This window comes from Homo sapiens, chromosome 19, assembly GCF_000001405.40.
Source record: "Homo sapiens chromosome 19, GRCh38.p14 Primary Assembly".
Taxonomy (NCBI): domain Eukaryota; kingdom Metazoa; phylum Chordata; class Mammalia; order Primates; family Hominidae; genus Homo; species Homo sapiens.
Genome location: NC_000019.10, coordinates 34,252,099 through 34,265,133, shown reverse-complemented (window position 1 = coordinate 34,265,133; position 13,035 = coordinate 34,252,099). Strand labels below are relative to the sequence as shown.

At 47.4% G+C, this 13,035-nt stretch overlaps 1 protein-coding gene across 1 annotated transcript in view, besides 2 other annotated features; it reads right to left on the bottom strand.

The window, feature by feature from the left end:
* GARRE1 (granule associated Rac and RHOG effector 1) overlaps window positions 1-10,580 on the bottom strand; it is a 101,013-nt gene extending 90,433 nt beyond the window's left edge. Inside the window, exon 1 of the mRNA NM_014686.5 lies at window positions 10,520-10,580. The gene's annotated coding sequence lies outside the window, so the exon portion shown is untranslated. The remainder of the gene's footprint in view (window positions 1-10,519) is intronic.
* Window positions 5,759-5,959: a silencer, noted in NCBI's record as "peak3442 fragment used in MPRA reporter construct". NCBI's record gives its function as "represses an SCP1 promoter by STARR-seq MPRAs in K562 erythroleukemia cells {active_cell/tissue: K562}" and the evidence as "EXISTENCE:reporter gene assay evidence [ECO:0000049][PMID:32103011]".
* Window positions 9,762-10,283: an enhancer, noted in NCBI's record as "H3K27ac hESC enhancer chr19:34745756-34746277 (GRCh37/hg19 assembly coordinates)". NCBI's record gives its function as "activates a minimal SCP1, AML or CMV promoter by ChIP-STARR-seq in primed H9 embryonic stem cells {active_cell/tissue: H9 hESC(primed)}" and the evidence as "EXISTENCE:reporter gene assay evidence [ECO:0000049][PMID:30033119]".
* Window positions 10,581-13,035: the final 2,455 nt, after the last annotated feature.

The following is a 13,035-nucleotide window of genomic DNA, read 5'->3' as shown; positions in this document are numbered from 1 at the left end:
TTTAGTAAGAAAATCAGATTTTTTTTCAGGTAATATCTTGCTCTAATTCCACTTTCAAAAATCTTCCCATTATGATTCTTTGCCACTGCCAATTTGAAAACACACTTAACTGACAGTGGCCCAGACACAAGGAACATAATCAAAATGACTTAAAAAAAAGAAAGAAAAGCAATATTCTATCTAGGCACGAATCCTAGAACAGACTCACGGTTAATGTAGAGGCCTGCGTCAAGAACACTCACTGGCAACACTGGTTATTCCCACGTGCCCTGCATTACGAGGATTGTTAAATACGTCACACAGAACACCTCATAGCCATTCCAAACATCAAGGCAGAGCAACCACACTTCACTGAGTCAAAGATGTCACCATTTACAAATCATATCATTGTCTCATATATGCCAAGAAAAACTCTGCCATATAACAATGACATGCCAGCCGGGCGTGGTGGCTCACACCTATAATCCCAGCACTTTGGGAGGCCGAGGTGGGCGGATCACAAGGTCAGGAGATCAAGACCATCCTGGCTAACACAGTGAAACCCCGTCTCTACTAAAAATACAAAAAATTAGCCAGGCATGGTGGCGGGCACCTGTAGTCCCAGCTACTCAGGAGGCTGAGGCAGGAGAATGGCGTGAACCGGGGAGGCAGAGCTTGCAGTGAGCTGAGATCATGCCACTGCATTCTAGCCTGGGCAACAGAGCAAGACTCCGTCCCCCCCTCCAAAAAAAAAAAGACATGTCATCACATGACACGTCCAAATTTCAGGCCTCCTCAAAGCTCTTGTCCTGTTTCTGACTCCTCTGCCTGCCTCAGGCTGGCTGGGACACACAACATGGAAAAAGTCCCTTTGTGTTATTTTCCCTCTAGAAATTACCCATATTTAACAACCATCATTTTGATGAAACCATCTTGGGCCACCTCAGTTCCCAAGGAGCCTTTCTGACTCCTGCAGCCTCTGCTGTCTCTGTCATTAGCTGCATGCTCTCCCTTTCCAAATGAACTGGGAGCATCAGAGACAGAGGCTGGACACATCTTTACACTTACGGTCATGCATAGCACAGGGACAGAGCAACAGAGACGACGACAAACACATACCTCCTGGGAACTGTTCCAAGGACTTTACAAATATTAACTCAGTAATGCCTCACTACAACCCCAGGAGGCAGGTATTACTACCTCCCCATTTTCAGAGGAGGTAAACTGAGGTCAAGGCAGGGGCAGGCCTTGAACCCAAGCCGCCTTGCACAGTCCTCACTCTTAACCTCCATGCTACATTCACTCTACACAACAGCCATGTCCATCATAGACATTTATTTTAAAAGTTATTGTTAAAATGAAAACATAGACCGGGTGCGGTGACTCGCGCCTGTAATCCCAGCACTTTGGGAGGCCGAGGTGGATGGATCACTTGAGGTCAGGAGTTCGAGACCAACCTGGCCAACATGGCCAACATGGTGAAACCCTGTCTCTATTAAAAATACAAAAATTAGCCAGACGTAGTGGCGGGCACCTGTAATCCCAGCTACTCAGGAGGCTGAGGCAGGAGAATCGCTTGAACCCAGGAGGCGGAGGTTGCAGTGAGCCAAGATTGCACCACTTCACTCCAGCCTAGGCAACAGAGCAAGACTCTGTCTCAAAAAAAAAAAAAGAAAAAAAAGAAAATACATATACACAGGGAAAAAAATTCACACCATACAAAATGGTATGCAAAGAAAAAGCTAACTCAGCCTAACAGCCTGGTTTTCTGGGGTCTCATCCCAAAAACAACCACTGTTTCTTTTCTATCATTCCATAAATTATTTCTGCACTTATAAACCTATTTCATGTATATCTATCTATCTATCTATCTATCTATCTATCTATCTCTCTATCGAGAGAGGGAGACATTATTTATTTTATTTTTATTTATTTATTTTTTGAGATGGAATCTTGCTCTGTCACCCAGGCTGGAGTGCAGTGGCACGATCTTGGCTCACTGCAACCTCCACCTCCCAGGTTCAAGCAATTCTCCTGCTGCAGCCTCCTGGACAGCTGGGATTACAGGCACCCGCCACCATGCCCAGTTAATTTTTGTATTTTTAGTAGAGGTGGGGTTTCACCATGTTGTCAGGCTGGTCTCAAACTCTGGACCTCAGGTGATCCGCCCGCCTCAGCCTCTCAAAGTGCTGGGATTACAGGCGTGAGCCACCATGCCTGGCCTATATATATTTTTTTAAACAAATGAGCTCATATTACTTCAAAAGTGGAGAAATTTTTTAAAATTAGAAAAACACAAATGGGCAAACATACATTGTTCTGTACCTTGCTTCTTTCACTGATTTCTCTGAGCTTGATCCACATCTGCACCTGTCCTGTTTTTATTAAATTCTAAGATATAAATATTTTTACATTTTAACTTCGTGGTTTTTCATGAAGTCAGAGGATCTTAGTGTGCTTGGACTTCATCAGGAAACAGGATCACAAAAAGCTTTTAAACATATATAAGACACTGGGAGTTATCTTGGCAGCCATGTGCAGGCTGAATCAAGAAGCAGAGGCCAGGCGAGGTGACTCACGCCTACAATCCCAGCACCTTGGGAGGCCAAGGCAGGCGGATCACCTGAGGTCAGGAGTTCCAGACCAGCCTAGCCAATATGGTGAAACCCCATCTCTACTAAAAATACAAAAATTAGCTGGGCGTGGTGACGCATGCCTGTAATCCCAGCTACTTGGGAGGCCAAGGCAGGAGAATTGCTTCGACCCAGGAGGTGGAGGTTGCAATGAGCTGAGATCGCACTACTGCATTCCAGCCTGGGTGAGAGAGAGACTCCGCCTCAAAAAAAAAAAAAAAAAAAAAAAAAAAAGCAGCAGCTGGGCATGGTGGCTCACTCCTGTAATCCCAGCACTTTGGGAGACCAAGGTGGGCGGATCACAAGGTAAGGAGTTCAAGACCAGCCTGGCCAATATGGTGAAACCCCGCCTCTATTACAAATACAAAAATTAGCCAGGCATGGTGGCACTCACCTGTAGTCCTAGCTACTCGGGAGGCTGAGGCAGAAGAATCGCTTGAACCCAGGGAGGCAGAGGTTGCAGTAAGTCGAGATCCTGCCACTGCCTTCCAGCCAGGGTGACAGAGCAAGATTCCATTTCAAAAAAAAAGGCAGGGAGACCTACCAGGTGACATGTGACATGATGCCACACATACCAGAGGTAAGTACCTACATCAAAGGGTTGTTGTGAGGATTAAACAATGCAATGTAGACAAAGCTCTCAGCATCAAACCTGGTTAGCGCAGTGAGTCGAAGGACTCAGCACAGGACCTGAAGTGCTGTTAGTGCCCAGTTAGACATTGTTATTAGTTATTTCAAGGACTGCTCCCACTTTCCAATGTCATTTCCCTCTACTCCTTATTCATACCTGTCCAGACTCTACCCTCAATCTCCTGCAGCTCAAATACCTCATGCTTGCTCTCACCTCCACACCTTTGGACGTGTCATGCCCCTGCCCAAGAGTCCTCCCCTCTTGCTGTGGCACTGGACTTACTTTTTCCCACAGTACTCAGCTCAAGAACAGCCTTCTCCAGAAGTCTCCCCTGAGAACTGCAGGCTGGATTCCCTGGATGAGCAGTGTAGGAAGAGCTTATCTGTCATTACTTCCCAGTGTCTGTTTATCAGCTTATTCAATGCACCCAGAAGCAAGCAGTTCCATGGGGATTAATTATTTAGGCTATCTAAGCTCAAAGAAAACTGATGTATGAACCAGAGGCCAGTTACTACTTTATGAATACCAACGAGAGCTAATACTGTCATTGAATACTTATCACAGGTGCCGGGTAGCACGCTCAGAGCCCTCACTGCAACACTAAGAGAAAGGTGCTACTATTATCCCCATTCTACAAATCAGAAAACTGAAAGATTAGCCAGCATCCCAAGACCAGGATCTGATCCAAGCAGCTTAGATGCAGAGCCCTCAACCACTCACATTCTCTCCTTACCAAGAAATCTCCACGTGCAGCTATCTTCTACTCAGATGGTACTGGGAGGACAGACGCTAAGCAAGGGAGAGACCCTTGCAGCCAGAGGCAACAACAGGGACACGCCCATCTGTGTGTTAGTGCAGATGGCTTTGTGGAGGGAACGCTGCACTGCTCCTCTGGTCAGGCCCCCAGAGAGTGCTACACACACACCACGTAATTCCTCTCTTGGACCCGCCACCCCAATTTCCAGACACTGTCCCAATCCTCTCCCAGAAACACAAGTATTTCTTCTGAGGATACAAAATTAAGTTTAAGCTTTCCAGCTACAAACACATTCCATGCATGCCTTCCTGGGGTTATAGCTGGGTCAGTTTGGTTGAATTTAAAGTTTTCCCTGAGATTCTTCAAACTACATTTACGAAATATCTTTTGACTTATATCTTTTCTATAGATAGCTAATGTGTATGACATTTTTTCTGATTTCATTCTCAGATGATCATTCATTCCTTCAACAAATACTTCATTAATGCTAAACGACGAGTTAGTGGGTGCAGCACACCAGCATGGCACATGTATACATATGTAACTAACCTGCACATTGTGCACATGTACCCTAAAACTTAAAGTATAATAATAAAATAAAAATAAAAAAATGATATTACCAAATCCTTGTCATAGAAAAGGTGATCAAGAAGTATATAGCCAAAATTATCAGGAAAAGATATTATAGGCTTATCTTGGAGATATTGCAGGTGTCATTCCAGATCATTTCAAGAAAGTGAATATCGCAATGAAGCAAGTCACATGATGTTTTTTATTTTCCTGTACATATAAAAGTTATATTTACACTATATTGTAGTCTGTTAAGTATGCAATCGCATTGTCACAAAAACAATGCACATACCTTAATTTAAAAATACTTCATTACTAAAAAATGCTAATGATCATCTGCATCTTCAGCAAGTGGTAAACTTTTTGTTGGCAGAGGGTCTTGCCGTGATGTTGATGGCTGCTAATTGATCAGAGTGTGGGTGCTAAAGGTTGGGGTGGCTGTGGCAATTTCTTAAAATAAGGTTTATTAGTCTGTTCTCACCCTGCTATGGGGAAATGCCCAAGACTAGGTAATTTATAAAGGAAAGAGGCTTAATTGATTCACAGTTCCCCAGGGCTGGGAGGCCTCAGAAAACATATTCATGGCAGAAGGGGAAGCAAACACGTCCTTCTTCACATGGCAGCAGCAAGAAGAATGAGACCCAAGTGAAGGGGGAAGCCCCTTATAAAGCCATCAGATCTTGTGAGAAGTTGCTCACTATCACAAGCATAGCATGGGGGAAACTGCTCATATGATTAAATTACCTCCCATTAGGTCCTTCCCACCACATGTGGGGATTATGGGAACTACAATTCAAGATGAGATTTGGGTGAGGACACAGCCTAACCATATCATTCTGCCCCTGGCTCCTCATGTCCCCTCATTAAACTGAATGAAATACAAAACAAACAAACAAACAAACAAAAAAAACTTCATCATTTCCACGCACTGTGTTCTAGGCCCTGGAGATCAAAGCAGTAAATAAGACACGCAAGATCTCTGAAACCTGGGAGAGGTTACTTGGTGACTCCCCTTCTAGGCACTTATAATACTTTATGACAATTGCTTATTTGGCATTCTTCCCAGGATGTGCTGTCCAGCTCTGTATTCTGATCTTCCAGTAAAGTAACTGGGCTGTACTGTAGGTACTCCATAAATGTGAGCTAACTCAATTCTTGAGTAAATTCACTGGGTCTCCTCTTTCACATCCAGAGTAGGACCACGTTAAGCCTGAAATCCCTTAAGAAAAGGTACAAAGTCTAAATCGAGGTGTAGGGATAGAAAGCAAATGGCAAATACAATCCATATCAAGAAGGAAGATGTGATTCACCGGCTGGTAAGAACCTTAAGAGTCAGGAAGGACAGGACACCTTGATAAGTGATATTTATTTATTTATTTATTTACTTATTTATTTTGAGACAGGGTCTCGCTCTGTTGCTTGGGCTGGAGTGCAGTGGCACAATCACAGTTCACTGAATCCTTAACCTCCTAGGCTCAAGCAATCCTCCGGCCTCAGCCTCCCAAGTAGCTGGAATTATAGGCATGGACCACCACACCTAGATAATTTTGGAGTCTCACTATGTTGCCTAGGCTGATCTCAAGCAATCCTCCCACCTTGGCCTCCCAAACTTCTGGGATCACAGGCATGAGCCCCTGTGCCAGACCTAAAATTCATTTTTTTAAGAGACAGAGGTCTCACTATGTTGCCCAGGCTGGTCTCCAACTCCTGAGAGCATGTAATCCTCTCACCTTGTCCTCGCAAAGAAGTGATATTTTCTTTTCTTTTTTTTTTTGAGACGGAGTCTTACTCTGTCGCCCAGGCTGGAGTGCAGTGGCACGATCTCAGCTCACTGCAAGCTCCGCCTCCCAGGTTCACACCATTCTCCTACCTCAGCCTCCTGAGTAGCTGGGACTACAGGCGCCCATCGCCATGTCCGGCTAATTTTTTAATATTTTTTTTTTAGTAGAGATGGGGTTTCACCATGTTAGCCAAGATGGTCTCGGTCTCCTGACCTCGTGATCCGCTCACCTCGGCCTCCCAAAGTGCTGGGATTACAGGCGTGAGCCACTGCGCCCGGCCAGAAGTGATATTTTCTTCACCTGGAGAAAGCATGGCCTCAGGAACATGTCCAGGGGTTACTGAACAGGAGAAAAAGAATTGACCTGCAGAAAACTCTGAGTCGGGGGTCACTAAGTGGTGGCAGAGGTAAGGAAATGAGGTGGTTCTCTACCCAGGACTCATATACTGGATAAGTGGGAAGGAATATGTTTTGGAGCGGGGGTAAGAGGTACAAAACTAGGCTTCAGAAAATGCCCCAAGGTAGATGTATGAAGAGAAGCAGTAAAGACAAATGAGAAAGTGCAGTCACAGATTTCAGGAAATGACCACACTAGTTCCAAGTCAAGAAGGCCAATCAAGGCCAAGCGTGGTGTCTCACGCCTGTAATCCCAGCACTTTTGAGGTCAGGAGTTCAAGACCAGCCTGGCCAACATGGTGAAACCCCATCTCTATTAAAAATACAAAAATTTGCTGGGGGTGGTGGCGCAGACCTGTAATCCCAGCTACTCGGGAGGCTGAGGCAGGAGACTCGTTTGAACCCTGGAGCCAGAGGTTGCAGTGAGCTGAGACCGAGCCACTGCACTCCAGTCTGGGCAACAGAGCAAGACTCTGTCTCAAAAAAAAAAAAAAGAAAAAAAAGAAAAAGAAAAAAGAAGGCCAATCAATGGGAGATTCACGAGAGCAAGAAAGAATAGCTCACCATGCCAAATACCTGAGATCAAAGTCAAGGAAAATAATTAAGCAATGGCCACTGCATGCATCAGTTAGGGGACCCTCAAGAGGGCAGTTTCAGTAGAGTTAAAGACATTTGAAGCACAAGCACAACCTGTTGCTGTTTTTCCTTAATCCAAACACAACATTCAGGCTCTCTGTGAACTTACACTTCAGAGAAAACGGCAACCTGCTTTTCAATAACTCCAAAACAAATCAATTCCTTATCTAAACCAACATTTTTTTGCCTACCTAGGAAGATCATCATTTTTCACTAAGGACAAAGTTACAGGAGGAAAAAAGAGTGATTAGCCAGGGGTGGTGGCTCACAACTGTGATCCCAGCTCCTAGGGAGGCTGAGGCAGAAGAATTGCTTGAACCTGGGAGGTGGAGGTTGCAGTAAGCCAAGATTGCGCCACTGCACTCCAGCCTCGGGGACAGAGGGAGACTCCGACTCAAAAAAAAAGAGAGTGGACACCCAACCCATGTGATATCCCAGCCTGCTAGCTTTCAGAAACAATTATTTCCTATAGACTTGGAAGACCCACTTGACACATGGATCCTGATGTATTAGGCTATAGGTTTTCAACAGAACAAACATTTACTAAAATTTTCACAGAATCATGTGCAATTTGCTTAAAAAAAAAAAAAAGGATGCTTAAAACATGGTCTTCCAAACATCTGGAGATAATTTTAGATTGAAAAATCTAGGCTTGCCAAGGGAATCTGAGAACTTTTCTATCTTGGTCTCCAATGCCAACCTACGTATTTGTGTGCAAAAATAGAGGAAGATTAGAATCTCAAATGCCACACTGAAAAGTTGCCACAACAAACCTGAACTCTTCATATGGAGTTTGTTATCTTGTCAGCAAGAAAGCAAATGAAACGGCAATAAACTAAACTTTTTGCTTTAAAAAGAAAAAAAAAATCTCAAACATGAAATATTCCCTGTACTTGTATTGGAAAATGATTTCTTTTTAAAACAAAATATTGTGAAGATACTGTGAAAAGAAAATACTGTGATTTTTAAAGACACTTGAAAACATCTAAGCACACACAAAATGTAAATATGAACTTTGTAAGTAGCCCTTACAAACATACACTTAGAACTTTTAGTCTAAAATATGATAAAATGATAAAGCTTACATATTATTCAATAAATCTGGAACTGACTAGCCATTTACAAAATATTTCATATTTTAAACCAAGAATGAATTTTAGGTAGACTAAAGGCAAAAAAATAAAACCATGAAACGATGAGACGCAAACATGAATTTCTTTTTTTTTTTTTTTGAGATGGAGTCTCACTCTGTTGCCCAGGCTGGAGCGCAGTGGCACGACCTCGGCTCACTGCAACCTTCGCCTCCTGGGCTCAAGCGATTCTCCTGCCTCAGCCTCCCAAGTAGCTGGGACTACAGGAGCGCGCCACCATGCTTGGCTAATGTGTTTTTTTGTATTTTTTTAGTTGAATCCGGGTTTCACCACGTTGGCCAGGCTGGTCTAGAACTCCTGACCTCAAGTGATCCGCCCGCCTCGGCCTCCCAAAGTGCTGGGATTACAGGCATGAGCCATCGCGCCAGGCTGGAATTTTTTTTTATGACAAAGAGACAGAAAAATTGTCCAAATATGTCAAAGGAAAACAAATACTATGTATTCTTAAAAATTGAACGTTACGGCCGGACACGGTGGCTCACGCCTATAATCCCAGCACTTTGGAACGCCGAGCCAGGCGGATCACCTGAGGTCAGGAGTTCGAGACCAACCTGGTCAACTGGGCGAAACCCTGTCTCTACTAAAAATACAAAAATTAGCCGGGCGTGGTGGGTGCCTGTAATCTCAGCTACTCGGGAGACTAAAGCAGGAGAATCGCTCGAACCCGGGAGGCTAAGGTTGCAGTTAATCTAGATCCCGCCACTGCACTCCAGCCTGGGTGACAGAGGGAGACTGTCTCAAAAAAAAACAAATAAAGTTACCTTTGACCCCATTTGTAAATTTATTCTAAGATAACAATCAGACCAGGTGTAATATCTCACACTTGTAATCCCAACACTTTGGAAGGCGAAGGCGTGAGGGTCGCTTGAGGCCAGAAGTTTTGAGACCAGCCTGGGCAACAGTCTCTTATTAAAAAAAAAAAAAAAAGACCATATCAAACAAATCCTTCCGGCAGAATTGTTTATCTTGTGACAAATTGGAAACTATCTCAATGCTCATCGGTGGTTAAATCACATACTGTAAAGTCCATAAAAATAACAATACCTATCTGTATTTATTGATTATCACCAAAATGTTAGCAGTGGTTGTCACTGAATGGTAGACTGGCAGATGACTGTCATTTTCTACCTTAAGACTTTTTGTGTCGTCTTGAGTGTTTTGCCAGGAAAGGAGAATTAACTGCTTTTATAATGGGGATGAGGGACCAGAACAAGGTATTTTCAAACTGGAGGCCCCCAAAGCTGAGTCTCTGGAAAATTTCTAAAAAGTCTAAACAAAATTCTTATCATGCCAACCAGGCACGCTTCTTTCCTCGCACCGCGCGGCGCAGAAAGACACACCCCTGACTCTGCGCTCGTCCCTCGGGCTCGGGTCCTCCACGCTCAGCCCCGGCCCTCCCGGTCCCCGCGGACCCTCCCCTCGGGCCCAATGCGCCAGCTGGCTCCGCAGGGCCGGAAAAGCGCGTTCCTCGGCAGCCTGGCGCCGCCGGGAAGGTGCGCGCAGCCCGCCCGGCAGCCCCGGGATGGCGTGAGGGCCGCCTCCCCGGCTAGCCCCAGCGGACCCCTGCCGCCAGCAGGCCGCCCTCCCTCCGCGGGCTTCCGGGAGCGGGTCCTGGCGCCAGCGCGACCTCCCGGGCCCCGGCGAACCGAGGGAGCGTCCCCTTTCCCCGCCTGACGGGCGCCGACCCGCCCCTGCGGTGCCGCGGCCGCCGAGTCTCCGACGCGCCCCCAGGTCCCGGGTTCGCGCCAGGAGGCCCCTCCGGGCTTCCGTCGGCCGGCCAGCGCCCGCAAAGCCCGGCGTCCTCCACAGCGGGCGGGCAAGGGGCGGGAGCCCACGGCCCCGCGCCCTGCGGCCCCGAGCGGAGCGGCGCCCCGCGGGCCCGTCTCGCCGTCTGCCCTGGCTGCGGCCCGCGGCCCCGCTGCCCACCGCCCACCGCCCGACCCCGCCCGCCAGCCCCCGCCTGCGCCCGCCGCGCCCGCTCCTCACCTGCGACGCGCCCCGGCCCCCAGCGCACCGCCTTGGACCGGCTGTGTACACCGGAAGTTACGTCTCCGGTCCGGCCCCGCCCCCGCCTCGGGCGGACGCGGGGAGGTTGCGGATCCCGCGCCTAGAGCGGACTCTCCTCTCGCATTAGAGGGGAGGGGGCGCCCCGGAGCCTCCTCTCCTGGGACCCTGGGCCCCCAAGCGGGACGGCCGGGGCGGAGGTTGAGGACTGGCGGCCAGAGCCGGAGGTCCACCCAGATCCCCCACCATGGCTTGGCCCCCGGGCGGGAGGGGTCGGGCTGCGTCCTCCTGGATTTATTACTGAAATTGACTGAAATCGATTACTGGCGTATGGAGTGTTTCCTAGATGCCAGGCCCCGACGGGCACTGCAGGAACGGGTAGTGCTCTCTCCCTCATAAGTTTATTCCTTAGTGGTAAATACACAATACCATTGTCACATATCCGGGTGATAATATAGTACCAATGGTGACAAGTGGTAGGAGGGGAAAGAGTAAGAGGGAGGGAGAGAGTACCCTGACCTAGTAAAGGAGAGTGATCCGGAATTCCCCCAGGGAAAGAGCAGGAGCTGAGGTCCTAAGGGGTAGAAGGGAGAAAAAAAAAAAAAAAAACGAGAAGGGAGGAGAACACATTACGCAGAAGCAGCAGCAAGGGTCTTCCAGTTCTGTGGGTTTTGTTTGTTTGAGACGGAGTCTTGCTCTATCGCCCAGGCTGGAGTGCAGTGACGTGATCTTGGCTCGCTGCAACCTCCACCTCCCGGGTTCAAGTGATTCTCCTGCCTCAGCCTCCCGGATAGCTGCGATTACAAGCGTGCGCCACCACGCCCGGCTAATTTTTGTGTTATTAGTAGAGACGGGATTTCCCCATGTTGGCCACGCTGGTCTCAAACTCCTGACCTCAGGTGTTCCGCCCACCTCGGCCTCCCAAAGTGCTTGAGCCACGGAGCATGGCCCAGTTTTGTGTTCCAATAATAAATCAGAGTGGTGAGAAGTTAGGTCTTACTTGACAGTGTTGCAAAACTAATGAGTTTTAAGCAAGAGGTGATTTGTCCATACTTGAGAGTGTAAAGGGGTTACTCTAGATGCAGTGTGGAGAAGGAAGGACTACGGAGGGGAGGCAAGAGTGGATATAAATGTGTACACCCATGTTCATATTAGTCAGAAGGTGGAAGCAACCCAATGTCCATCCACGGGTGAATGGGTTCACAAAATGTGGTATAAACATAACAATAGAATATTACTCAGCGTTGAAGGAGGCCGGGCGCCGTGGCTTACGCCTGTAATCCCAGCACTTTGGGAGGCCAAGGCGCGTGGATCACCTGAGGTCAGGAGTTCGAGACCAGCCTGACCAACATGATGAAACCCCGTCTCTACTAAAAATACAAAATCAGCCAGGCGTGGTGGCGCATGCCTATAATCCCAGCTACGATGCAAATAGATGAGCTTTGAAGATATTATGCCAAAAGAAACCAGTCACAAAGACAAATATCCTATGATTCCACTTACATAAGGTACCTAGAGTAGTCAAAAACATAGAGACGGGCCAGGCATGGTGGCTCATGCCTGTAATCCCAGCACTATGGGAGGCTGAGGCAGGAGGATCACCTGAGGTCAGGAGCTCCAGACCAGCCTGGCCAACATGGTGAAATCCCATCTGTACTAAAAATACAAAAAGTTAGCCAGGCGTGGTGGTGGAGGCCTATAATCCCAGCTACTTGGAAGGTCGAAGCAGGAGAACAACTTGAACCTGGGAGGCAGAGGTTGCAGTGAGCTGAGATTACGCCACTGTATTCCAGCCTTGGCGATGAAGCGAGAATCTATCTCAAAAAAAAAAAAAAAAGAGGCCGGGTGCAGTGGTTCACGCCTGTAATCCCAACACTTTGGGAGGCCGAGGTGGGCGGATCATGAGGTCAGGAGATCGAGACCATCCTGGCTAACATGGTGAAATCCCATCTGTACTAAAAATACAAAAAGTTAGCCAGGCGTGGTGGTGGAGGCCTATAATCCCAGCTACTTGGAAGGCCGAAGCAGGAGAACAACTTGAACCTGGGAGGCAGAGGTTGCAGTGAGCTGAGATTACGCCACTGTATTCCAGCCTTGGCGATGAAGCGAGAATCTATCTCAAAAAAAAAAAAAAAAGAGGCCGGGTGCAGTGGTTCACGCCTGTAATCCCAACACTTTGGGAGGCCGAGGTGGGCGGATCATGAGGTCAGGAGATCGAGACCATCCTGGCTAACATGGTGAAACCCCGTCTCTACTAAAAATACAACAAAAAATTAGCCGGGCGTGGTGGTGGACGCCTGTATTCCCAGCTACTCTGGAGGCTGAGGCAGGAGAACTGTGTGAACCCGGGAGGCAGAGCTTGCAGTGAGCCGAGATTGCGCCACTGCACTCCAGCCTGGGTGACAGAGCGAGACTCCATCTCAAAAAAAAAAAAAAAAAAGAAAGAAATGTAGAAGTTCTAATATTTTCTCCCAGTATCCCAATGGATTGCCTTCCCA